We start from the raw sequence: 27,978 nt of genomic DNA on the forward strand, positions 1-27,978 counted from the left end.
TGGAGTACATCAAAAGCTGGCAAACGTTTTCTCTAAAAGGCCAGACAGTAAATAGTTTAAACTCTGTGGATCCTAAGATCTCTGTAACAGCCAATCAACCCTTTCTGAGGGGTGAGGAAACCGGGAAATTTATCTACAAACTCTTGTTTCTTATTGTTTGAGGGTCCTTCCTAGGGCATTTCTTCCCCCAACAATTCTGGCTCAACTAGCTTAGATCAATCATGACTGCCAGGCCATAGAGCACCCTCAGGCAGAGAGATACAGGAAGCCAACAGCTTGTATAGAGATTGTCTGCAGGTGACCTGTCTGGGGCAGGCCAAGGAATATGGGTGGGACACTGACAATGTCTTCTGTGAGCACTACCTAAACCTGTTTCTGTTCACTCACTTCTGGGGAGGGAAGTTCCTAAACAGGCTCACTTACATCTTCAAAGAAGGTCCTTGTTTGCAGCACTATTTCCTTGAAGTAGAAGCTCACGTCTCGGTCTGTCAGCAGCTCCAGGATTTTTTTTAGAGCCTTCAAGCTTTCACAGACGACTTCAGTGCGAGCTAGGTGATACAGGCCTCTGATGATAGATTCTAGCATTAACTGCTTATGTTTCTTCACCTATTTTGAAATAAGACCTCTTAATCTTGAAAATTGTTCTATGCGTATCTGGAAGAGGGTAGGAGTCCTCAGACAAGAGGACTGAAATTTTGTCAGGGTCACATGTAGTTCAACCGAAGGACTACCACTTCAGCAATGTATCTGGATTTCCAATTAATTTGTATGCAACAACTAGGCGTGGGTTATTAAATCATTATTTCAAAACTCTACTTAAATGAACCATTTCCCCTTAAAACGCCTTTTACCTTGTGAGGAGCCCCGGATGCTGTGTTGCCGAGCCCTCGGATGGCCATCTGCCTCAGAGTGGCGTTGGAGTCCCAGGCACTTTGATCCATCAAGATCAGCACATTTCGCAGATTCCCATGCTTCCAAAGGATTGGTTCCTTCATGAGCTGAAATAATCAACACACTCCTCCCGTTTAGTTAAGGGCGTGGCCCCTCCTTCAGGAGAGTGCCAAAGACATCACAAGTACAATTAAAGAGAGGACCCCACTGCTTGTGCAGCGGAGGAGGAAGCCCTCTGGTGAACCAGCAAGCCTTGCTGAAGCTGAGCTCTAGATATGAGCAGCGCACAGGTCAAGCTTGCATGGTGATGTAAACCCGGTTACCTGCATAACAGATGTCTAGTCTCAATGGAAAATGGGGCAGGGAAAACAGGAATGACTGATAGTTTTCCTTCTCTGGATTGGCTGGAATAGTCTTCAGGCCGGAATTTGAAGCGTCAGTGCTACAATGCTTTGTTTGATCCCTCACAGATTTATTGTCCCCCTTTCTCTGCCTTCTGCAAACTAGAGGGCAGGAGGTGGGTGAGGTGGTTTATTTTCCTCTCTCACCCCCTGCTTAGGTACCATATATCTGGCAGTAGCTGGTCTCTCCTCTATGAAACCCCCCCCCCCCTTGAAGTCTCTCTTCCCTGGTTCCAGTGCACACTGGGCTCCAGACCATAAGAGAAATACCCTATGGGGACCCAGTGAGTGTGCTCTGAGGGCTGTTCTCCCTTGCCTCAGAGAAGAAAGCTGCGCCGGTTATCCGGTAGTTCTCCGAGGAGGAGGTAAGAGATGAGAGCAGCTGTTCCATGATGTCCAGTATGACTCCGTGTTGCCACACTGCCATGCTCCTAGAAAATGCACATTTTAGCAGAGACATATTTTACTAAACAATGGAGGAAATCTTAGTCTGTTTGTTCATCAGGCAAGTAATTTGTCTAAAAAGGAATGCTTGGCTGGGGGTGGTGGCTCATGCCTGTAATCCTAGAACTTTGGGAGGCCGAGGCAGGTGGATTGCCTGAGCTCAGGAGTTCGAGACCAGCCTGGGCAACATGGTGAAACCCCGTATCTACTAAAATACAAAAAATTAGCCAGGCATGGTGGTGTGCTCCTGTAGTCCCAGCTATTCAGGAGGCTGAGGCAGGAGAATTGTTTGAACCCAGGAGACAGAGGTTGCAGTCAGCCGAGATCGCGCCACTGCACACTCCAGCCTGGGCGAAGAGTAAGATTCTGTCTCCAAAAAAAAAAAAAAGAAAAAAGAAAAAAGAAAAAAGGGATGCTTGATGAAAGCCCACCAAGGCTTAAATTTTAAAATGGCCTATCCAATTGTCCAATTTAAATGCAGTTTGTCTAAACAATCCCATCAAAAAGCAGGCTAAGGACATGAATAGATAATTCTCAAAAGAAGATATACAAATGGCCAACAAACATATGGAAAAATGCTTAACATCACTAATGATCAGGGAAATGGAAATCAAAACCACAGTGCGATACCACCTCACTCCTGCAAGAATGACCATAATAAAATAATAATAATAAAAAAAAAGGTGTTGGCATGGATGCCGTGAAAAGAGAATAATTTTTCACTCTTGGTGGGAATGCAAACTAGTACAACCACTATGGAAAACAGTGGAGCTTCTTAAAGAACTAAAAGTAGATCTACCGGTTGATCCAACAGTCCCACTACTAGGTATCTACCCAGAGGAAAAGAAATCATTATACAAAAAAGATACTTGCACACACATGTTTACAGCAGCACAATTTGCAATTGCAAAAATATAAAACCAGCCCAAATGCCCATTAATCAATGAGTGGATAAAGAAAATGTGGTATATATATACCATGGAATACTACTCAGCCATAAAAAGGAGTGAAATAATGGCATTTGCAGCAACCTGGATGGAATTGGAGACTATTATTCTATGTGAAGTAACTTGGGAATGGAAAACCAAACATTGTATGTTCTGTCTCATATGTGGGAGCTAAGCTATTAGGACGCAAAGGCATAAGAATGATACATTGGACTTTGGGGGTTTGGGGGAAAGGGCAGGAATGAGGTGAGGGATAAGCCTACATATTGGGTGCAGTGTACACTCCTCAGGTGATGGGTGCACCAAAATCTCAGAAATCATCACTAAAGAACTTATTCATGTAATCAAACACCACCTGTTCCCCAAAAACCTACTGAAATAAAAAAATAAAATTTTTTTTAAAAAGCTGATTAAAAAAAGTTCAACAGAATTCTAGGTATGTGAATATTAAATATTTCTTTCAAAAAATAAGTGTAATTTGTCTAAAGATGTTCACCTGAATCATGTTTCTTGAGGTGAGTGGTGTGTGTGGGGCTGATCTTACCATCTCTTCCCATTCCCTTTTCTTTCTTTCCTGTTTGTCCTCCTTCGACTATTAGTCCTAAGTGAATCAATTATGCTCAGTGAAGTTGCCTGTATTGCACTTTTGTTTGTTTGTTTGTTTTTGTTTTCTTCTTTGTATCTGGTTCTAGAAAAAGTGCACATTACCTGGCCAGTGAACATACGCCTATGTGGTGGGTACTAGGACTGCTGAGTAGAGTCCATAAGTTGTCCCCCTCATCAGATTCCTTTGCAAGGCCTTCTCTCATGGCTTGGGCTTGCAAACATTTTAAAGTAGCAGTTGAAAGCCTAAAGGAGACAGTCAGCATTACAAAACTAAGTTGACCCTTATAGGGAATTGCAAATTCCCAAGTTTGCCTTTCCACTCCTCACAATGCTTTCCCACCCCTGGACTAGGGGATGTTGTGTAAGGGAAAAACAGGCAGCCCTATGCTCACATTTTAGCCTTGGGATCCATGGGGACATGCAGATGATGTGGGCCAGTAAGTAATGCCACAAAATCTTGTCAACACTCCCCCCATAAGAAAAAATAGGCCATAAGAATAAAAAGTGAAAAATACCATATTTCACTGATTCTAAAACACGATCTCTGAAATCAGGATGCATCTTGCAGTAGATGTGTGTTACAATTGTTCTTGGCCAGACAGTACTTGTGATGTAGTTGCTATTGTCTGTACATTCACATGTGCTGCCTGGTTCAGATATAGCTCTTTATATTACCATCATTTTAGTAAAGTTACACGTATTATTGGAACTATTACTTTTAATGGTAAAAACAGCAATTACTTTTGCACCAACCTAATACGTGTTGACTAAACGGTGTTTAAAGTGTCTTTAAAAATGTTGCACTATAATTTTACATTGGAATGAAAAGTTATGCAAAATGCAGGGAAACAGAATGATGGGATATGAAATGAAAATTCATACTTCATAATCCTAAAAGAGTTCTTTTGATAAGTACAGAATAAAAATTTTAAAGTTTAAGAAAGCATTGATTCACTGCTTACTTTGGAGTTCTTTTCTGTTTTCTCAATGGTATGCAAAAAATTGCTTTTTTTCAATTGCTGAAGTCTCAGAATTTATGAAATATGGTATTTATTTTTATTTTTCTTTTTTCCCTGGTGGCCTTGAAGATCACAAGATTCCAGCCTCTCTAGAAAGATCTCAATGATAGAAACCAAAGATAATATAGTAGTTCCTCTAGGAAAGAAAGCATAGCCCCTTATTCTTTAAGTGACTATTCTGTGTAGCTACACTGGATACTGGCTCAAGAAGAACTATGGTGTCACGGCTTAGGGAGAGTAGAGCCTTGTAGAGCCTTGTTTCTTCATGGACAATGGATGCTATGACAGAAAGCACAGACCCTGACTTCTGCAGCACCACTCCTGGAGTCTGGGATTAGGACCACTGTGGAAGATGCTTCCTGATTGGCCGTTTACCTGCAGGGGTCTGGGATCTGCTGCTGTTCTCCCTGCTGCATCACATGCCGCCTATGGCTCCAGGGACAAGTGAGCATCTTCTGGCCCAGTGTGCAGCTAACCAGCTTCAGGAGGAGAGTGAACAGCTCTGGATACAAGCCGGTGACAGAGGTGCCCATTGAGATCACTTCATACATAGCACAGGCCACCTGAGGGGAGAAAGGGCCTCTTGGTCAGGCAGTCTCATTTTCTCCAAGGCCATCTTCTCTCTGGGCTGATTTTCAACTTTGTTTTCTCCACCAGTAAAAACACACAGAAAAGGGAGGGTTTATTGTCTGGAAATTTCTCAACTCAGGGCCTGCCATGTTAGTCCTGTGACTGCCAGGGGACACTAGTCATGTAAAATAAAATGTTTTCAGCATTGGGGTTTTTCAACAAAAAGGGTCCTTTGGATATCTTACAGACTTATCTAGAAATATAGATACATAGGTTTTTTGGGGGGTTGATGAGAAATTTGCTTCTAAAAATGATCAGCCACAGACAAAAGTAGAGCCACAACTATAAACTGGAGTAAAGTTAGGGTATGAGAGAAGAAGGAGGTGTCATTAATGTGACAGCACCAAGCTCCAGGTGGGGATAGATCATAAAGATGGCGCAGTCTCAGGCAAGTGATGGGTTCAGGCTGTCCAACTCACTGAAATTGCCTCAACCCTGGCGATGTCATCTTCTAACTCAGTCTCCAGTTTGTCTATTAAGGCTTGCAAGAGTTTCCCACTGGAGGCTGGCTTTTCAGCCAGCGCCTTCCACAATGTCTTTGTGTCCCTAGGGTGGCAAAGCAGGAAATTGGTAGATAAGGCACAACCCCTCGGGCTGTAAGCTTTTCCATCTGACTCACTCTAAAATCACATTATGACTAATGACAATTTCAAGGGCAGATGGACATGCTGCCATGCCTGGGGATAAGAAAGATGTTTTACATAACAATTCAGCATTCTAGCCTTGGGTTACAGAACTTTGTTAAAGTCCACTAAGATGGGAACCTCTCATGTAGGTGCATTCTAGGCCACCAGAAAGAGGAGAATATTCACTTTTTAATATTCTCTTATTCCTATGGCATATTGTTAAAAATATTATTATGCAATACATATATATCTTATATATATGAAAAGCACTTGGAAAAACATTACTTGTGATTCAAATACCAATTGTTAAATTGTTATTCAGATGAGCTATTTTCAACCTTTGTTTGCTATCTTGCTCTCAAACCGTAAATCCCTCCCCAGTGCCTTTCAGAGTGGCCTTCCCTAGGAGAAGGAATCAGTTCAATAAGGATCTACCTGTCAAAAGGCAGAGGCTTCTGTAAAAGGTTGACAACAACTGTATCCATGTGAAAGCTGGCTATCTGGGAGATGGCTTCTAGAATGAACTGAAAACTTTCTTCTTTTTGTCTGAGGACTGGCATGTGATGGTAGATTGTGCCTAAGATCTCCAATAGCTAAAGAGAAAAAAGCCAAGTCAAACATTAAGTTGCCATTTTCCCTCTATGTGAATGACTCAGAACAGGTATCTGTCGTGGATGGGCAGCTGATGAATTCTAAATAATGTTAAAAATAATAATTGATTTCACATGTGGCCTATTTCTCACTCAGGAGGATTGTTCATGAATTGGCTATTTGTTCCTAATTAAATTTAGGAAACATTTTGTGAAAGGGTGTATTATGACAGGTGCTGTGTTTGCCATTGTCGGAATTTACCAAAGATGAAAAAGATGTACCCTTTTTGCAAAATGAGTGATCCAATAAAGAATATCAATCATAGACCTAAAGGCCTGTAGTCAAGGCAGTCTATGGCAAATGGTATACATGAGGTGCATACAACCGACAGGGGAATCCAGGAGGAACTGAGTCACATTGGAGGGCCATTTGGTTTGGGTCTTGAAGCATTTGTAGAAATTTCAAAAGGCAAGGTGGAGACAGATGGTGGGAAAGGGCATCCTTGTCAGAAAGAAGAACACAGATAAAGATGTAAAGTTAAAAGACATGAGAATAGGTGGAGCACAGAGGATTTTTAGGGCAGTGCAACCACTCTGTATGATCTTATACTGGTGGATACATGTCATTATACATTTGTCAAACCCATAGACTGTACAACACCAGGAGTGAACCCTGGAACTGCAGTCCATGGAACTGTGGACTTTGGGTGATAGCGATGTGTCAATGTAGGTTTACTGATCGTAACAAATCTACTCTGGTGGGAGATATTGACAGTCGGGAGGCTGTGCGTATGTGAGGGGAGCGGGTAGATGGGAACTGTGCTTAATTTTGCTGTGAACCTAAAACTGCTCTAAAAAATCTATTTTTTAAAAATCACGGGAACATGGGCATAAGAAAATGCTGAGATTTCTAGTGTAGGAGAATGGTCCAGGTTGGAGTGCAGAGAGAATGAAGATAATAAAAGAAAGATGACTTGATAGAAAAGATGAACCCAGATCTCAGAGCACTGGATGCCACCTTTAGGAATTTGGATGTTAATCTGTTGGCAGTAGGGAACGATATCATACATTTGGATTTTTGACATGGACACAGGCATATATCTATCTTAAAGTAACTCTGCTTCTAGTAGACATTTCTATTATTTTGGATAGACATTTAAGTTAGACATTTATTTTAAATATATTTTCTCTGAATTATAATTCCTTAGTTATAAATAGCCCCCATTTATGATTACCACAGATTTCCAGGTCAATGATGCTTGGAGAGGATTTAGGTCCCTATTGTAAGCCTTTACCTATTGTGTGAACAACTCTTTATGCTATACACACAAATATATGGGCATTCCACATTTATCAATTTTGGCTGTCTCATGTCTATCCCAGTGCCTACCACATAGTAGGTGCTCAATAAATGTTTTCAAAAACACTTATTGAAAAGTAATTAGCACAGAGGTAATTTTCAATGCCCTTAACACAAAAGCTGTGCTTTGGAGAGTTTTTAAATTGAGGGTAGTTGACTGGACTATAGGGACAAGAACTTCTTTCTCTTACTCTCTTTGAGTTGCTTTCATTTAGTGAAAGATTTTTTCCTTTTTCTTTTTTTTTTTTTGAGACTGAGCCTTGCTCTATTGCCCAGGCTGGAGTGCAGTTGCACAATCTCAGCTCACTGCAACCTGTGCCTCCCTGGTTCAAGTGATTCTCCTGCCTCAGCCTCCCAAGTAGCTGGAATCACAGGTGCTTGCCACCATGCGCAGCTAAGTTTTGTATTTTCAGTAGAGATGAGGTTTCTCCATGTTGCTCAGGCTGGTCTCAAACTCCTGTCCTCAAGTGATCCACCTGCCTTGGCCTCCCAAAGTGCTGGGATTACAGGTGTGAACCACCACATCCAGCCCATTTTTTCCTTCTTATTAATGTTTGAATAACTTGTATTCTATTTTTGACTTCAGAAGAGAAAAGAGAGGCATTTCCATTTGGAGCTCTTAACCAAGCTTCCTGAATTTAAATCCTGTTCACTCTGCTTAACTCTCCAGTTGGGAAGAAGAATTGAGGACTTTCCCCAATCCAGTGGCAGCCTTGCTTATCAGACAATGAACACTATGGGGTGTGGGAGAAAAGCCTGAAGGGTAGCAGTGAAATTAGAAACTCCTGCCCTTGACTCCTGCCCTTGGTGGTTGTCTCAAAGTCATCCACATGGTCACTCTTATCCTTACATCTCTAACAACCCTGTTTTCCATCATCCAAATGGCCTCGGTTCAGAGCTGCTTCCTCTAGCCAGAAAGAGACAGTTTGAACAGCTTTTATATTAAAAGACAAGAGAGGCAATTGAGACAGGTCCTCAACGTGAGCCTTGTTGTTAAACACACAACGTAGGTCTCTAATGAGGCCTCTTGAGGTTGTGCAAGCCTTTGCATGCTGCCCATCAGTGGACAAACAGAGAAAGTGGCTGACTTGGCATTTCAGAAGTGATAGAAATCTGTTCAGTTGTTAAAACTGGCTATCAGTTCACCTGATCTTCCAGAGCAGCTCCCTGCTGCTTCAGGACAGTGATCATCCATATGCCACAGGCCTTTGTACAAGTGGGGTTGAGGCTCTCCAGACCGTCCAGCATTTCCTCTAGGAACATCAGAATTTCTTCATTTGGGATGAACTTACTGACAATCTGAAAATGCACCCAGAAAGATTCGTGTAATCAACCACCCCATTTTATATCTAGATACTTACAACATGCTGTTGTGGTTTGTTTTGGGTATTAGAAACCACTGAACTTTTCAACAGTTTTGATTGAGGCCACAGAAACTAGAGAAAATACTAGAACAGGGCATAGACATGACCTTTTATTACTAAGCAAACTTTCCGTGGAGTTGCCTTTTTTATCATTTCATATTTATTGAATCCTAAGCCTGCTAAGGCAATTTTCTCTCCAAGCCTAAAGTTATAGCATACAGCATAGGGAAAAATAATGCAGAATGTTTACATAGCAATATGTACATTATAAAGTCCTTTTACAAACATTCATATATCATAGAAACATGACTTGAATCTGCCACATAATACCTAAACCTTGAGAATTCAGGAAAATCTATCAATATGTATTAAGTACCATGCTGAATACTCAGGTGGTGGACAGTGTACATATGGAGTATGGATTATTATGAGCCTTGTTTCTTGCTCTTCCATATTTCAATATTAAGAACAGTCCATAAAAGGTCAATAAAATGGAAAAACTTTGCAATTGTTGTCTCTAGGTACAAGAAGTATACAGAATGCTTGGTCGATAGCAGTGTGTGAATTTGAGTGTGTATGTCTGTGTGTGCGCATTAATGAAAAAGGAGTAGGAAAGCAGGTGAAAATTTGGTGTTTGAATGAGTTCCAGGATCATTATCTGGGGATTTAACTAAGCAAGATGGTAATGATTATGAGTTTGTAGACACTAGAGCGTTCCTATTTACAATGGTCTTCCCTTTGCATTAAGTAGCCAGATGATATTGAGAAAATATGAACTCCTTTCCTTGAATATTTGCACATCCAAACCATTTGCTGAGTTATTAGATCAAAGGACTATACCATGGCTACCATTCTATGTAACTCCAAATGCTTGCCGGTTGTCCAAGCTTCATGGTTAGCTGTTTTGTCTCACAGTGGGATGGATGTTGATTCAGGAGCAAAGGAAGGAAGGGAACTCATGTTTTTGAGCGCCTATTATGTGTCGGGCACCTTTTAAGGCATTTGACATATTTTCCCTTCCTGTCTCTCAAATGGCTTCTCTGTCATTTGCTGATCAATTACTCATGTCTCTGCTACAGCCACCTTCCTTGTTTCTAATTGCCTCATTTGATAGCTGGAGTCTTGCAGTTTCCTACAAACTGACTTCCCTAATTTTGCTCTTAACAGTCTATATTCAAGTCTCCACATAGCTGCCAGAGTGGCCCCTCAGAAATGTAAGTCTGGTTGTGTTTTTCCTCTCAGAACCACTGTTAGCCTAGAAGAGGCATTTGCACACTAGGAATATGAGCCCCGTCCTCAAGATATTTCACTTCTCTCTGTGAGTGTATTGTCATAACGTACTGATTTTGCTGGATCCTTTACTGCTACCTGTGGAAAATTGCCATAACACCAATATAAATCTGTAATGTCTACATTATGAATGATGTTGTCTTACATGAGGGTGCCCTTTTGCATTTCAAAATTGGCATAATTATGTGTGGTGGCCTGACTCTTCTGAGAACCCTCCATTGGCTTTTGATTTCAAATAGAGCAAAAAACAAGTTCCAAACACTGCATGTTCTCACTCATAGGTGGGAATTGAACAATGAGAACACATGGACACAGGAAGGGGAACATCACACACCAGGGCCTGTTGTGGGGTAGGGGGGTGCGGAGGGATAGCATTAGGAGATATACCTAATGTTAAATGATGAGTTAATGGGTGCAGCACACCAACATGGCACATGTATACATATGCAACAAACCTGCACGTTGTAAACATGTACCCTAGAACTTAAAATATAATAAAACAAACAAACAAACAAAAAAACCAAGTTCCTTAAAAAGGCCCAGAAGGCCCTTGGATCAGCCTCCAGTTATCTCTTGGATCTCATTAACCCCTCTTTCTACACTTCAGGGGCTTTGCACTTGCTGTTTTCCCTCTGCCTGGAATTCTTTTTTCCAGATATTTCCATGATTATCTCTTTCAGGGTGTTCTTCTCCAGAGGATCACCTCTTACCTCTTCTTTATTCCCTTTCTTGACTTTATTTTTCTCAGTTATCATTATCTGATATTATGCTTATTTTTGGATTTCCTTTACTAAGATACAAGCTCAGTGAAACAGGAATTGTATTTTCTGCTTTCTTAGTGCCTAGAATAGAGCTTTACATATGGTAGGTGCTCAGGAGAAGGAAGGTAAATGAATGCATGACTGAATGAGTGATTGAATTGATTGGCCAGTCCTCACAACAACCACAAAATGGTCTTTTGTTTTTGTTTCTTGAGGATGAGGAGACTGAACTTCAATCAGTGCACACAGAGTGCATCTGATTAACTCCAAAGCTCTTGTTCCTTCCACTCCAACCCACAGCATCCCACATTTTGGGAAAGGACACTTGGTCTACAAAGTTTCCCACTATCTGAAATGATCAGTAATGAGTGTTGACTAGGCATGTGTACTCTAAGTTAGAAAATGACAGGACCACGGGTCCCTCATTCAGCTTGAATATCTATCTTCTTTGCAGTGGGGAGTATGTAGCTTACTCATTTGGAAATCAATCCAGAATCTTTACATCCCCTGGCCACTCCATATTTATTACCTTAGCTATTTTAGAAGAAATCTTGATCTGAACCTGCACGTCATCACTTTCCAGCCCTTCCTGCAAACCCTGCAGTCTTTCCACTTCCAAGTGAATGCCTAAAATCAACAAAGTGAGAAATGTTTAAGTGTTCAAAGACCTGATAGGGGTTGAAGAGGCTGGCTATATTTTGATATGACACTAAATTAGCTGCTGTCTGATGAGATGGTGAACATAAGCGCTAACACATACTGAGTGGTTTCTACATGCTGGGCACCATGCAGATACTCTGCATACAATAATCTCATTTATTACTCATAAACATTATCTGAGGTAGACTCTCCTGTTCTCGTCTTGGTTTTGCAGATGAGAAAGCGGGAACAGAGATGTGAAGACATTGCCCAAGGCACACGGTGAATAAAAATAGGAGAGTCTGAATTTCAACCCTGGTCTGTCTGACACAAATGCCCAGGTTCCAACTACTCTGCTATGCTGCTATCTCTCTTGGATTTCTATTCTTCAGTGAGCTCCCTCATTGGGGAAACTGAAAAGTAACTACTGTAATGAGAAGTTTACATCAGCAACTGTGTAAGTGATTGTTGATATCAATTTATAAATGCAGACCTAACCAATAAAGATTTTCTGTTTATTATTTGAATGTATATTAATCATGGAAACTAACACATGAACCATTCTATGGAAGGCAGCCTAGCCCAGTGGGACACACGTGGACTTTGAAGTCAGATGCCCCTGAGCTCAAAGCCCAGCTACTCTACTTTCAGTGGTCCAAGTAACTGAAAACTTCTTAATTTCAGACTCCTCATTTTCAAAACTGAGAAGTGTCCATGAGTATCGATGGGTATTTAATTTAGTATCACACTTGTTACTTGTGTCTAGTAGGTGTTTTAGTAATACATGTTCTTTCTCTCCACCAAGCTTGTTTCTTCCATCGGCGAAAATGTCGATGTAAATTATAAAGTATGGGCGTTCTATTAACAAAGAGTGTTTGAGGACCTGAATTTTTCATATTTTAGGAAAATGAAGTGGGCTAAAGGAAAAATAGGTAGAACAATAATAGAATCCAAATTCCTTTCTTCCTATGAGTTCCCTACTGGCATATTTCTGTTACTACTGTAATGTTTTTTTTTTTTTTTTTTTTTTTTGAGACAGTCTCCCAGGTGTGATCTCGGCTCACTGCAACCTCTGCCTTCCAGGTTCAAGTGATTCTCATGCCTCAGCCTCCCGAGTAGCTGGGATTACAGGCATCCACCACCACTCCTGGCTAATTTTTTGTATTTTTGGGAGACAATGGGGTTTCACCATGTTGGCCAGGCTGGTCTTGAACTCCTGACCTCAAGTGACCCATATGCTTCGGGCTCCCAAAGTGCTGAGATTACAGGGTGACCCACCACGTCCAGCCTGGAATGGTTCTTTAGTTCTCACTTCCTTAATTCTATTTTTTTCCTGACTTGGTAAAAACATATATCTTTAATCAATTATCTTCCTATATCCCAAAGGACTTTTGTACCTACTTTGACTCTGCTGAAGAGTTTTTTCTTTTCTTTTGACTGATTATCTCTTTCCCCCAACCAAATCCTACCTTTTGGCTTTAACACACTTATAAAATGTGAATATTGGAACTGCAATATCTCTGTGTCCCCAGCATTAGAACAGTGCCTGACACATGGAAAGGCACTCAATAAATATTTTGAATACCTAAAGAATGATGTGTGGAACATAGGCAGGCATAAGGTGGCATTAAGTCTAGACTGTTTCTGGCTGCGTCTACTCTGCAGAACTGCACACACACAACGTAGGGCTGTCCTTGGTGAAACATGGACTCAATTAACCTGGACAGGGAGCCCTGATTGTTGGTTTCAGCCTGAGACGGAGGTTTAAAAATTCCTAATATTTTGTGGTATTGACAGTTATTCACATGTACTTGGAGAGCAGGAGGAGCTCCTGCTCTGAAAATTTCCACAAAGTTCTGTCTCTTAGAGAGCTTTGAAAGGCACTTAGTACCACGATAATAGTGCAATTTTCTCTGAAGAAAACCATGTGATAGAGGAAGCATTGCTAATATGCCCAATTGCTTAGTGATTTAAATCGGAGACTCTCAAAACATTTTACCTACTTTAATGGATCTTTATAATGCTTCAGTGTTATTATCTCTATTTTAAAAAATGAGAAAAACAGAGCCACTGAGGAAAGATATACCGGTTTCAGATCTAGGAGACAGATTCTGTGATATAATTAAGGTATTAAAACAGAAATTGCTGAACTATAGAGGGAAGGAGAAACAGAGAGAAAGAGAGAGAGAGACAGAGAGAGATGGGGAGGGGAGAGGAGAGGAGAAAAGGAGGAAAATGAGGAAAGAGGAGAGAGGAGAGGGGAGGAGGGAGAGAGACATAGGTGCATAAGGAGAAAAGCTGAGAATAAAAGAAGATGGGTTTCTTTTCTTCATTTGTGGGTTCCCCATCTTTCCCTCACCTTTTATATAGAACAGACCAATAGTTGAGCTAGCAGCCGCCTGACGGATGGTGGGCAGGGTATCACAGGAGTGAGGAGCCAGAAGTCCAAGCAGTGAACCAATTTTAAAGTTCTCTGGTGCCTGCAGGATAAAGGAGGCATCCTATTGTGATGGGGTAGCTTGGTCATATCCCAGGATGTTCCCAACACTGGATCTCAAGTCTCTTATTTTCTCTCTGCAGGTCCTTAGAATGAAATTTGATCTTGCACTTTCTCCTAAAAGATGCCTATTTTTAAGGGCAGTGGAGAAGTAAGCATGCATGTAAAGAAAACCCAATAGCTCAATTCGTGTGAGCTGCACTCTGAAGTTAGATCTCTCTCCAAAAGTGTTCCGAAAAGCACTTCACTCTGAGATGCACGATCCATCATGCAGGAGTTTTGGATTCCAGAGATCTCAGAGATCCCTGCTGTTCACAAGCAATAAAGTCTATTCATTCTAGGGGATTACTTACCTCAATATCATTTGTCAGCACTTTCGCAGTGATCTGGAAGGCTCTTTCTCTTTCCCACTCTTTTTGTGAAACAAGCCACATTTGGAGAAGCTGTTGGTCAAAGAATAAATGTTCTTTCCTTAGTATTCTTCATATTCATCTAGTTTCATATTCTCTTTTTCTGTCTCTGCCTCTTTTGTAACACGGTGCTCACCTCCCCACAAACAATTTTTAAGTAGATGGCTGTATGTGGGGTGTGGGTGGGTCCAGCTGGATGTCTTCATGTAAGGAAAATGCAGTAGAGTTTGGAGTGGACATTGAAGAACAGATTAGGGAGAATGAGAATCAGTTTGAGTGGAGGCTCTACTCACATTAAACATTTCTTGACAGTCCTCTGCATTCACATTATCCCACATCATGGTCTTCAGAAGTTTTCCTAGGGCGTCCATGGATCGTTCATAGAGAAACTGAAATCAAATATGTGTGTGTGAGTCTCAGGCTGGGGTGAGAGAGTAAGGCCCCACTGCAGACTGTCATCCTACTTAGGCCTCACTAGTGCATACTTGAATGTGCTCCTTGTCCTTGTCTGTCTGGCCTTCACTTTTCAGATTTTCCAGAGGTGGAAGGGGCAGCAGCCTCCGAATATTCTCCTCAAGAATGTTAAGGTGGTCTTGTAGTGAGAGCTGAGGTTTCAGTTTACTGAAATGAGAACCAGGTGGAGGAATGGATATTACAGTGACCATCAGAACATACCCAGTGGAATTCCCAAGAACTGCCAATCACATCTGACCAGGCAACTAACGTGTCACATTTTCTGACACGTTGGGATGTTGAGAAAGGTGGTGACAGGAGTAGGGAGAGATGGGAACACAGAATCAGACTGCATTGGTGAGCATACTCAATACGCCTCCATTCTTTAGATTAGATTGATGAACAAATCATCACTCACTTTGTGTTCCTTAACACTATTATATGATCTGTGACAGCATTACCTACTTGTTTTCTCCATCTTGTGTGTGTGTGTGAGAGAGAGTGAGAAAGAGAGAGAGAGAGAATGATAGAGAGAGATATGTATCTCCTCAACTAGATTGTAAGTCTGCAGCAGTGACTTTTATCAATTTCACGTCTCTTTTCATGTTCTAAATAGTGACACATATACTATAGGTTCTTATGAATGCACAAGTGAATAAATGACAATGGAGTGTTTCTTCCTTTCTGCCTTTCTTTCAAATGTTTACTATAGACTTCATGAGGATATGAAAAAGTCTAGATATGACTTCAAAAAATGCACATGTTCAATACCCATGAAAAACTCCATTTACTTTTAAATAAATGTAAGTTAAGACAATAAGATACCATTAGTCAGCTACCAAATTAGCAAAGCAATTAAAAATGATGACACCATCAGAGAAATAAGATTCTCTTAGAGAGGAATAAAATTCAGTACCAGCTGGGAAAGCTCTATGTAGTCTTCTTGTCTTTATTGTCTGGCTCACTGCTTTAAAAGAAATTAATGTATCAAAGTATAATTTATGTATAGTAAGCTGCATCCATTAAAAAAATTTTGAGAGATGTTCACACTCATGAAAACACTGATGGTTATATAACCAATATGGAATCTTTCTATGATACTCTATTTTTTTTTCTATGCTCCTTTGCAGGTTATCTTTTCCTCCCCCTTGACAACCACTGATTTGCTTGCCATCATTAGAGATTAGTTTTCAAGTTCTACAGCTGTGCTGTCTCTAGCCTCATAAGCTCGTGAACATGAGTTGTGGCTGATCTGGATTAAGATGTAACACATGGGATTTTGAAGATTTAGTATGAAGAATAATATAAATTATCCAATTTTAAAATAATGAATATATGTTGAAATAGTATACTAAATATATTGGATTAAATAAAATATAATATTAAAATTAATTTAATTGTTTCTTTTCACTCTTTTAAAAGTGGTTACCAGACAGTTTTAAATGACATATGTGACTTGCATTGTATTTCTACTTGACAACACTCTTCTAGAGACTGGTTAATTCTTAATTCAGCTTCAAGATTGATTTATTTGAGCTTTCTACAAACCTCCCTCATTTTTGTTAACATGGCAACCTGTGCTTTCTCTTATCCTGCCTCTTACCACATTTGGAGAAATTATGTGGGTGCTTCTTACATCTGTTTCTCCCAGTAGGCTGAAACTCTGTCAGGGGAGGGTCATATCTTGTTCATCATTGCTCTTTTACAACCTAGTTCACTGACTGATATGACATAGATGCCACTTAATAATATTTATTGAATAAAACTATCAACTATCATACTTAAAAGTTCAGAAATTTTTTTTTGCCCAAAGGTGTTTATCAAAGTATTATTTATAGTTTTTAAAACAGGCAACAATTATGTTATAGAAATAGGAGGTTGGTTAAGTAAGATGAGACATATTTATATAAGATATTAGGCAGCCATTAAAGATATATTTGTTACCTCAATATAATAAATGACATATGTGAAAGCTTATAGCTAACATTATATTCAATGGTGAAAGGCTGAAAACATCCCCTGTAAGATCAAGAGTAAGACAAGGATACCATTTTTACAACTTCTATTTAGCATAGTGCTGGAAGTTCTAGCCAGAGCAATTAGGCAAGGAAAAATTAAAAAGGTATCTAAATTGGAAAAGGAGAAGTAAAACTATCTCTGTTTAGAAATGACACAGTCTTATATGTAGGAGCTCTAATGACTCTACCAAAAAACTGTTAGAACTAATAAATGAATTCAGCAAAGTTGTGAGATACAAAATCAACCTACCAAAATCTGTTGCATTTCTATATACAACTGATTTGTTAAGAAATGAACAAACTGAAAAGGAAATGAACAATTTCATTTACAGCAGCATCAAAAAGAATAAAGTACTTAGGAATAAACTTAACCAAGTGAAACACAGAAACACACTAAACATTGTTGAAAGAAATGAAAGAAGGCACAAATAATGGAATGACATCCTTTGTTCACGAATTAAACAATATTGTAAAGATGACTAGATCTTAATATCATTAAGAATAGATGTACAGATTTAATGTAATTCCTATCAAAATACCAAGGGTGCTTTTTGTAGAAATAGAAAAATTCATCCTAAAATTCTTGTGAAATCTCTAGAGACCCCAAATAGCCAAAACAATTTTGAAGAAGAACAAAGTTGGAGGTCTTATACTTACTGATTTCAAAACTTTTTACAAAAGCACAGTAATCAAAATAGTATGTAACTGGCATAAAGACAGACATATAGGCCAGGTATGGTGGTGCGAACCTGTAATCCCAGCATTTTGGGAGGCTGAGGTGGGCTGAGAGCTTGAGCCCAGGAGTTCGAGACCAGCCTAGACAACATGGCAAAACCATGTCTCTATAAAAATAGAAGAATGAGCTGGGCGTGGTGGTGCTCACCTGTGGTCCCAGATACTTGGGAAGCTGAGGAGGGAGAATCACTTGAGCCCAGGAGGTCAAGGTGCAGTAAGCCGAGATTGTGCCACTGCACTCCAGCCTGGATGACAGAGTGAGACCCCGTCTCAAAAAACAAAAGCAAAAAAAGAGACATATAAGCCCATGGAATAGAATAAAGAGCTTATAAGTAAACCATTAAATGAACTACGACAAGGGTGCCAAGACCATTCCATGGGGAAAGGACAATTTTTTAAAAAACAAATTTTATTGAGTATATTTAAGGTATACAGCATGATGTTATAAGATATACATAGTAGAAGCGGTTCCAAGATGGCCGAATAGGAACAGCTCCAGTCTACAGCTCCCAGCATGAGTGACGCAGAAGACAGGTGATTTCTGCATTTCCCACTGAGGTACCAGGTACATCTCAATGGGGCTTGTTGGATGGTGGGGGCAGGACAGTGGGTGCAGCCCACTGAGTGAGAGCCAAAGCAGGGCGAGGCATCACCTCACCTGGGAAGCACAAGGGGTCAGAGAATTCCCTTTCCTAGCAAAGGGAAGAGGTGACAGATGGCACCTGGAAAATTGGGTCACTCCTACCCTCATACTGTGCTTTTCGCATGGTCTTAGCAAATGGCACACCAGGAGATTATATCCCGCGCCTGGCTTGGAGGGTCCCACACCCACGGAGCCTTGCTCACTGCTAGCACAGCAGTCTGAGATCGAACTGCAAGGTGGCAGCGAGGCTGGGGGAGGGGCGCCCGCCATTGCTGAGGCTTGAGTAGGTAAACAAAACGACCGAGAAGCTCGAACTTGGTGGAGCCCACCGCAGCTCAAGGAGGCCTGCCTGCCTCTGCAGACTCCACCTCTGGTGGCAGGGCATAGCCGAACAAAAGGCAGCAGAAACCTCTGCAGACTTAAATGTCTCTGTCTGACAGCTTTGAAGAGAGTAGTGGTTCTCCCGGCACGAAGATCTGAGAACGGACAGACTGCCTCCTCAAGTGGGTCCCTGATGCCCTAGTAGCCTAACTGGGAAGCACCCCCCAGTGGTGGCAGACTGACATCTCACACGATCAGGTACGCCTCTGAGACGAAGCTTCCAGTGGAACCATGAGGCAGCAACATTGGCTGTTCAGCAATATTCACTGTTCTGCAGCCTCCGCTGCTGATAACCAGGCAAACAGGGTCTGGAGTGGACCTCCAGCAAACTCTAACAGACCTGCAGCTGAGGGTCCTGACTGTTAGAAGGAAAACTAACAAACAGAAAGGACATCCACACCAAAACCCCGTCTGTACATCACCATCATCAAAGACCAAAGGCAGATAAAACCACAAAGATGGGGAGAAAATGGAGCAGAAAAGCTGAAAATTCTAAAAATCAGAGCGCTCTCCCCCTCCAAAGGAAAGCAGCTCCTCACAAGCAATGGAACAAAGCTGGACGGAGAATGACTTTGATGAGTTGAGAGAAGAAGGCTTCAGATGATCAAACTTCTCCGAGCTAAAGGAGGAAGTTCGAACCCATCGCAAGGAAGCTAAAAATCTTGAAAAAAGATTAGATGAATGGCTAACTAGAATAACCAGTGTAGAGGAGTCCTTAAATGACCTGATGGAGCTGAAAACCATGGCACAAGAACTACATGATGAATGCACAAGTTTCAGTAGCCGATTCGATCAACTGGAAGAAAGGGTATCAGTGATTGAAGATCAAATTAATGAAATGAAGTGAGAAGAAAAGTTTAGAGAAAAAAGAGTAAAAAGAAATGAACAAAGCCTCCAAGAAATATGGGACTATGTGAAAAGACCAAATCTACATCTGGTTGGTGTACCTGAAAGTGATGGGACCAAGTTGGAAAACATTCTTCAGGATATTATCTAGGAGAACATCCCCAATCTAGCAAGGCAGGCCAACATTCAAATTCAGGAAATACAGAAAATGCCACAAAGATACTCTTTGAGAAGAGCAACTCCAAGACACATAATTGTCAGATACATCAAAGTTGAAATGAAGGAAAAAATGTTAAGGCCAGCCAGAGAGAAAGGTCGGGTTACTCACAAAGGGAAGCCCATCAGACTAACAGCGGATCTCTCCACAGAAACTCTACAAGCCAGAAGAGAGTAGGGGCCAATATTCAACATTTTTAAAGAAAATAATTTTCAACCCAGAATTTCATATCTAGCCAAACTAAGCTTCATAAATAAAGGAGAAATAAAATCCTTTCCAGACAAGCAAATGCTGAGAGATTTTTGTCACCACCAGGCCTGCCCTAAAAGAGCTCCTGAAGGAAGCACTAAACATGGTAAAGAACAACCAGTACCAGCCACTGCAAAAACATGCCAAATTGTAAAGACCATCAAGGCTAGGAAGAAACTGCATCAACTAAAGAGCAAAATAACCAGCTAACATCATAATGACAGGATCAAATTCACACATAACAATATTAACCTTAAATGTAAATGGGATAAATACTCCAATTAAAAGACACAGACTGGCAAATTGGATAAAGAGTCAAGACCCACCAGTGTGCTGTATTCAGGAAACCCATCTCACATGCAGAGACACACATAGGCTCAAAATAAAGGGATGAAGGAAGATATACCAAGCAAATGGAAAACAAAAAAAGGCAGGGGTTGCAATCCTAGTCTCTGATAAAACAGACTTTAAACCAAAAAAGATCAAAAGAGACAAAGAAGGCCATTACATAATGGAAAAGGGATCAATTCAACAAGAAGAGCTAACTATCCTAGATATATATGCACCCAATACAGGAGCACCAAGATTCATAAAGCAAGTCCTGAGTGACCTACAAAGAGACTTAGACTCCCACACAATAATAATGGGAGACTGTAACACCCCACTGTCAACATTAGACAGATCAATAAGACAGAAAGTTAACAAGGATATCCAGGAATTGAACTCAGCTCTGCACCAAGCAGACCTAGTAGACATCTACAGAACTCTCCACCCCAAATCAACAGAATATATATTCTTCTAAGCACCACGTCACACTTATTCCAAAATTGACCACATAGCTGGAAGTAAAGCTCTCCTCAGCAAATGTAAAAGAACAGAAATTATAACAAACTGTCTCTCAGATCACAGTGCAATCAAACTAGAACTCAGGATTAAGAAACTCACTCAAAACTGCTCAACTACATGGAAACTGAAAAACCTGCTCCTGAGTGACTGCTGGGTACATAACGAAATGAAGGCAGAAATAAAGATGTTCTTTGAAAGCAATGAGAACAAAGACACAACATACCAGAATCTCTGGGACACATTTAAAGCAATGTGTAGAGGGAAATTTATAGCACTAAATGCCCACAACAGAAAGCAGGAAAATCTAAAATTGACACCCTAACATCACAATTAAAAGAACTAGAGAAGCAAGAGCAAACACATTCAAAAGCTCGCAGAAGGCAAGAAATAACTAAGATCAGAGCAGAACCAAAGGAGATAGAGACACAAAAAGCCCTTCAAAAAATCAATGAATCTAGGAGCTGGTTTTTTGAAAAGATCAACAAAATTGACAGACCACTAGCAAGACTAATAAAGAAGAAAAGAGAGAGGAATCAAACAGACACAATAAAAAATGATAAAGGGGATATCACCACCGATCCCACAGAAATACAAACTACCATCAGAGAATACTATAAACACCTCTACACAAATAAACTAGAAGATCTAGAAGAAATGGATAAATTCCTGAACACACACAACCTCCCAAGACAAAACCAGGAAGAAGTTGAATCCCTGAATAGACCAATAAGAGGCTCTGAAATTGAAGCAATAATTAATAGCTTACCAACCAAAAAAAGTCCAGGACCAGATGGATTCACAGCCGAATTCTACCAGAGGTACAAGGAGGAGCCGGTACCATTCCTTCTGAAACTATTCCAATCAATAGAAAAAGAGGGAATCCTCCCTAACTCATTTTATGAGGCCAGCATCATCCTGATACCAAAGCCTGGCAGAGACACAACAAAAAAAAGAGAATTTTAGACCAATATCCCTGATGAACATCAATGCAAAAATCCTCAATAAAATACTGGCAAACTGAATCCAGCAGCACATCAAAAAGCTTATCCACCATGATCAAGTGGGCTTCATCCCAGGGATGCAAGGCTGGTTCAACATACACATATCAATAAACATAATCCATCACATAAACAGAACCAAAGACAAAAACCCCATGATTATCTCAATAGATGCAGAAAAGGCCTTTGACAAAATTCAACAGCCCCTCATGCTAAAAACTCTCAATAAACTAGGTATTGATGGGATGTATCTCAAAATAATAAGAGCTATTTATGACAAACGCCCAGCCAATATCATACGAATGAGCAAAAACTGGAAGCATTCCCTTTGAAAAGTGGCACAAGACAGGGATGCCTTCTCTCACCACTCCTATTCAACATAGTGTTGGAAGTTCTGGTCAGCGCAATCAGGCAGGAGAAAGAAATAAAGGGTATTCAATTAGGAAAAGAGGAAGTCAAGTTGTCCCTGTTTGCAGATGACATGATTGTATATCTAGAAAACCCCATTGTCTCAGCCCAAAATCTACTTAAGCTGATAAGCAACTTCAGCAAAGTCTCAGGATACAAAATCAATGTGCAAAAATCACAAGCATTCTTATACACCAATAACAGACAAACACAGAGCCAAATCATGAGTGAACTCCCATTCACAATTGCTTCAAAGAGAATAAAATACCTAGGAATCCAACTTACTAGGGATGTGAAGGACCTCTTCAAGGAGATCTACAAACCACTGCTCAATGAAATAAAAGAGGACACAAACAAATGGAAGAACATTCCATGCTCATGGATAGGAAGAATCAATATCGTGAAAATGGCCATACTGCCCAAGGTAATTTATAGATTCAATGCCATCCCTGTCAAGCTACCCATGACTTTCTTCATAGAATTGGGAAAAAGCTACTTTAAAGTTCATATGGAACCAAAAAAGGGCCCGCATTGCCAAGACAATCCTAAGCCAAAAGAACAAAGCTGGAGGCATCACGCTACCTGACTTTAAACTACACTACAAGGCTACAGTGACCAAAACAGCATGGTACTCATGCCAAAACAGAGATATAGACCAATGGAATGGAACAGAGCCCTCAGAAATAATACCACACATTTAGAACCATCTGATCTTTGACAAACCTGACGAAAACATGAAATGGGGAAAGGATTCCTTATTTAATAAATGATGTTGGGAAAACTGGCTAGCCATATGTAGAAAGCTGAAACTGGATCCCTTCCTTACACCTTATACAAAAATTAATTCAAGATGGATTAAAGACTTAAATGCTAGACGTAAAACCATAAAAACCCTAGAAGAAAACCTAGGCCATAACATTCAGAACATAGGCATGGGCAAGGACTTCATGTCTAAAACACCAAAAGCAATGGCAACAAAAGCAAAAATTGACAAATGGGATCTAGTTAAACTAAAGAACTTCTGCACAGCAAAAGAAACTACCATCAGAGTGAACAGACAACCTACAAAATGGGAGAAAATTTTTGCAATCTACTCATCTGACAAAGGGCTAATATCCAGAATCTACAATGAACTCAAACAAATTTACAAGGAAAAATCAAACAACCCCATCAAAAAGTGGGCAAAGGATATGAACAGACACTTCTCAAAAGAAGACATTTATGCAGCCAACAGACACATGAAAAAATGCTCATCATCACTGGCCATCAGAGAAATGCAAATCAAAACCACAGTGAGATACCATCTCACACCAGTTAGAATGGCAATCATTAAAAAGTCAGGAAACAACAGGTGCTGGAGAGGATGTGGAGAAATAGGAACACTTTTACACTGTTGGTGGGACGTAAAGTAGTTCAAGCATTGTGGAAGACAGTGTGGCGATTCCTCAAGGATCTAGAACTAGAATTACTGTTTGACCCAGCAATCCCATTACTGGGTATATACCCAAAGAATTATAAATCATGCTGCTATAAAGACACATGCAGACGTATGTTTATTGTGGCACTATTCACAATAGCAAAGACTTGGAACCAACCCAAATGCCCATCAATGATAGACTGGATTAAGAAAATGTGGCACATATACACCATGGAATACTATGCAGCCATAACAAATGATGAGTTCATGTCCTTTGTAGGGACATGGATGAAGCTGGAAACCATCATTCTCAGCAAACTATTGCAAGGCCGAAAAACCAAACACCGCTTGTTCTCACTCACAGGTGGGAACTGAACAATGAGAACACTTGGAAACAGGGTGGGGAACATCACACACCAGGGCCCGTCGTGGGGTGGGGGGATGGGGGAGGGATAGCATTAGGAGATATACCTAATGTAAATGTCGAGTTAATGGGTGTAGCACACCAACATGGGATATGTATACGTATGTAACAAACCTGCACGTTGTGCACATGTACCCTAGATCTTAAAGTATATATAAAAAAAGATATACGTAGTAAAAGGTTACCATAATGAAACAAATTGACCTAGCCATCATCTCACATAGTTATCTGTTTCTCTCCTGTCCACTCCCACCTCTGCCCCGTGGCAAGAGCAAAAGTAGGAGCAGCTATAATCTACTCACTTAGCAAAATCCTTAATACAATACACTATTATTAAATATACTCCTAGGTTGTACATTATTAAATCTTTAGACTTATTCATCAGACTTACCTACTACTTTATATCTTTTGACTTACATCTTCCATTTCCTACCCACCACTGAGAATAAAACAGTAGCCACTGTTTTTTATTCTCCATTTCTGTATATCTGACATTTTAAAAAATTCCACATACAAGTAAGATTATACAATATTTTTTTCTGTGTCTGGCTTATTTTACATAGTATAATGTTGTACAGGTCCACTCATGTTGTAACAAATGGCATGATCTCCTTTTTAAAGTCTGAATAATATTCCATTGTGGGTATAAATATCACAATGTCTTTATCCATTCATTCATTGACAGACACCTAGGTTGTTTCTATATCTGTGCTATTGTTAATAATGCTGCAATAAATATGGTGGTACAGATAACTTAAAATTTTTTTAATTTAAAAAGCCATAGGGGTACAAGTGGTTTTTGTTACATGGATGAGCTGTATAGTAGTGAAGTCTGAGATTTTAGTGTACTTGTTACCTAAATAGTGTACATTGTACCCCAATAGGTAATTTTTCATCTCTCAGGGAGTGCAGATATCTTTACGAGGTGGTAATTTCATTTCCTTTGGGTATATACACAGAAGATAAATTGCTGGGTCATATAGTAATTCTATTTTTAATTTCTTTTGGACCCTCCATCCCGTTTTCCATAATGGATGCACCAATTTACGTTCCCACCAACAGTGTACAAGGGTTTCCCTTTCTCTCTATTCTTGCTAACATGTGTTAGGGTTTCTTTTTGATAACAGCTATCTTAACAGGTATGAGGTAATATCTCAGAGCAGTTTTGATTTGTATTTCCATAATTATGAGTGATATTAAGTATTTTTCATTTGCCTTTTAGCCATTTGCATATCTTCTTTTGAGAAATGTCTACTCTGGTCCTTTGTCCATTTTTAAATCAGGTTATATATTTTCTTGCTATTGAGTTGTATGAATTCTTTTTAATTTTGGATATTAACTCCTTATCAGATACATGGTTTGCAAACATTTTTTCCCAATCCATAGGTTGCCTTTTCATTTTGTTGACTATTCCCTTTGTGCTGCAGAAACTTCATAGTTTGATGTAGTGTCATTTATTTATTTTTGCTTTTGTAGGCCAAGATTTTGATGTGAGGACAACCTTTACAAAAAATGTTGTTGGAAAAACTGAATATCCACATGCGAAAGAATTAAGTTGGACCCTTATGTTACACCATATGCTAAAATCAACTCACAATGGATCAAAGATCTAAATGTAAGAGTTAAAACTATTAAACTCTAAGAAGAAAATACAGGGAAAAGCTTGAAGATCTTGAATTTGACAGTGATTTCTTGAAACACAGGCAACAAAAGTAAAAATAGACAAATGGACTACTTAAAAATTATAAATTTCTGTGCATCTCGGGAATACAAAAGAGGGAGTGAGAGTGAGGAGTAAGGGTGAAAAAAACTACTTATTGGGTACTATGCTCACTACCTGGGTGACAGATTCATTTGTACCCCAAGTCTCAGCATCATGCAATATACAAACCTGCACATGTACTCCCAAATCTAAAATAAAAGTTGAAAAACAAAACGAAACAAAAACTTTTGTGCATCAAAGGATATAATCAGCAGAGTGAAAAGGCAACCTATTAAATAGGAGAAAATATTTGCAAATCATATGTCTGATAAGAGGTTAATGTCCAGAATAAATTAAAAAAAATATTATAATTAAACAACGAAACACCAAACAACTTGATTTTAAAAATGAGGAAAGGACTTGAGTAGACATTTCTCCAAAAAAGATATACAAACAGCTAACAAACATATGAAATGATGTTTGACATCACTAATCATTAGGATAATGCAAATCAAAACCACAAGAAAATACCACCTCACACCCATTAGAATGGGTATAAAAAACAAAGTTTTGGGTCACAAAAATCAATATATACAAATCAGTAGCTCTGCTATATACCAACAATAATCCCTTTTACAACAGCTGAAAAAAAATTAAATACCTAGAAATATACTTAACCAAGGAAGTGAAGGATCTCTACAAGGAAAACTACAAAGCACTGCTAAAAGAAATCATAGATGACACAAACAAATGGAAACACATCTCAAATTCAAGGAAGGGAAGAATCAATGTTGTGAAAATGCCCATACTGCCCAAAGCAATATACATATTCAATGCAATTCTCATTAAAATACCATCATCATTTTTCATAGGATATAGGAAAAACAATACTAAAATTCATATGGAATAAAAAAAGAGCCCACATAGGGAAAGCAATAGTAAGAAAAAAGAACAAATCTGGAGTCACTACATTACCTGATTTATATAAAACTATAGTTACTGAAACAGCATGGCACTGGTATAAAAATAGGCACTTAGACTGATGGAACAGAATAGAGAACCCAAAAATATAGCCAAGTAGTTTTAGCCAACAATATGAATGTATTTAACAATACTGGACTGTACACTTAAAAATGGCTGATTATAAATTTTATGTTTTATTTATTTTGCCACAATTAAACATTAACAAAAACTAAAAACTAAGAAAAGTATGATGTTTATGAAGAATTGGTGATAATGTGGAACTATGTAAGGTGAAGTTAGAAAAAGCAGGATGAAAAATCACATGCAGAGTAGAATCTCAACTCTGTTATAAAAATGGAGGACTAGAAATAAAGACTTAAAGGAATGTATTAGCGCATTTTCACAGAGCTATAAAGAAATACCCGAGACTAGGTAATTTATAAAGGAAAGAGGTTTAATTGACTCACAGTTCCACATGGCTCAGGAAGCCTCAGGAAACTTACAACTGTGGCCAAAGGCAAAGGGAAAGCAGGCACCTCTTCACAATGCAGCAGAGGAGAGTAAGCATGTGAAGGAGGAACAGCCAAACACTTATAAAACTATCAGATCTCATGAGAACTCACTCACTATCATGAGAACAGCATGGAGGAAACCACTCCCATGATCTAATCACCCCACGCCTTTGACACGTGGAGATTACAGGTCTCTCCCTCAACATTTGGGGATTACAATTCGAGATGAGATTTGGGTGGGGACCCAAAGTCAAACCACATCAAGGAAATAGACCAAAATGCTGGCAATGGGGGCACTATGGGTGGTTTTTATTATTTTTTAAAAAATTTTTGTGATTTCCCAATCTTTACAGAGGACTTCTATTTCTGTTTCTTTTTGTTTCTTCCATCTTTTATTTTAGGTTCAGACGGTACATGTGTGGGTTTGTTTTATGGGTAAATTGCATGTCATGAGGATTTGGTGTACAGATTATCTAATCAATAAGCATAGAACCAGATAGATAGTTTTTAAATTCTCACCCTCCTCCCAACCTCCACCCACAACTAGGCCCCAGTGTCTATTGTTTCCTTATTTGTGTCCATGTCTACTCAGTATTTAGCTCTCACTTATAAAATTAGTGGTATTTGGTTTTCCTGCATTAATCTGCTTAGGTTTATGGCTTCCAGCTCCATTCATGTTACTGCAAAAGAC

At 39.6% G+C, this 27,978-nt stretch overlaps 1 protein-coding gene across 3 annotated transcripts in view, besides 1 other annotated feature; it reads right to left on the minus strand.

Annotated features, from left to right (window-relative positions):
• MROH2B (maestro heat like repeat family member 2B) overlaps positions 1-27,978 on the minus strand; it is a 73,323-nt gene that overhangs the window by 5,903 nt on the left and 39,442 nt on the right. For all 3 annotated transcript variants that reach the window (XM_011513953.2, NM_173489.5, XM_011513952.2), the window contains 13 exons: positions 14,961-15,096; positions 14,769-14,864; positions 14,419-14,508; positions 13,928-14,048; positions 11,459-11,556; positions 8,661-8,813; positions 6,000-6,157; positions 5,358-5,484; positions 4,684-4,871; positions 3,392-3,532; positions 1,609-1,723; positions 852-998; positions 424-606 (listed from right to left, as the gene is read on the minus strand). In XM_011513953.2, the coding sequence (XP_011512255.1) occupies positions 424-606; positions 852-998; positions 1,609-1,723; positions 3,392-3,532; positions 4,684-4,871; positions 5,358-5,484; positions 6,000-6,157; positions 8,661-8,813; positions 11,459-11,556; positions 13,928-14,048; positions 14,419-14,508; positions 14,769-14,864; positions 14,961-15,096 (1,753 nt within the window). The remainder of the gene's footprint in view (positions 1-423; positions 607-851; positions 999-1,608; positions 1,724-3,391; positions 3,533-4,683; positions 4,872-5,357; positions 5,485-5,999; positions 6,158-8,660; positions 8,814-11,458; positions 11,557-13,927; positions 14,049-14,418; positions 14,509-14,768; positions 14,865-14,960; positions 15,097-27,978) is intronic.
• Positions 4,503-5,702: an enhancer, noted in NCBI's record as "CDK7 strongly-dependent group 2 enhancer chr5:41008527-41009726 (GRCh37/hg19 assembly coordinates)". NCBI's record gives its function as "activates an origin of replication core promoter dependent on BRD2, BRD4, P300/CBP, MED14 and CDK7 cofactors, with strong dependence on CDK7, by STARR-seq in HCT116 cells {active_cell/tissue: HCT116}" and the evidence as "EXISTENCE:reporter gene assay evidence [ECO:0000049][PMID:35650434]".

Source organism: Homo sapiens, chromosome 5 (assembly GCF_000001405.40).
Source record: "Homo sapiens chromosome 5, GRCh38.p14 Primary Assembly".
NCBI lineage: Eukaryota > Metazoa > Chordata > Mammalia > Primates > Hominidae > Homo > Homo sapiens.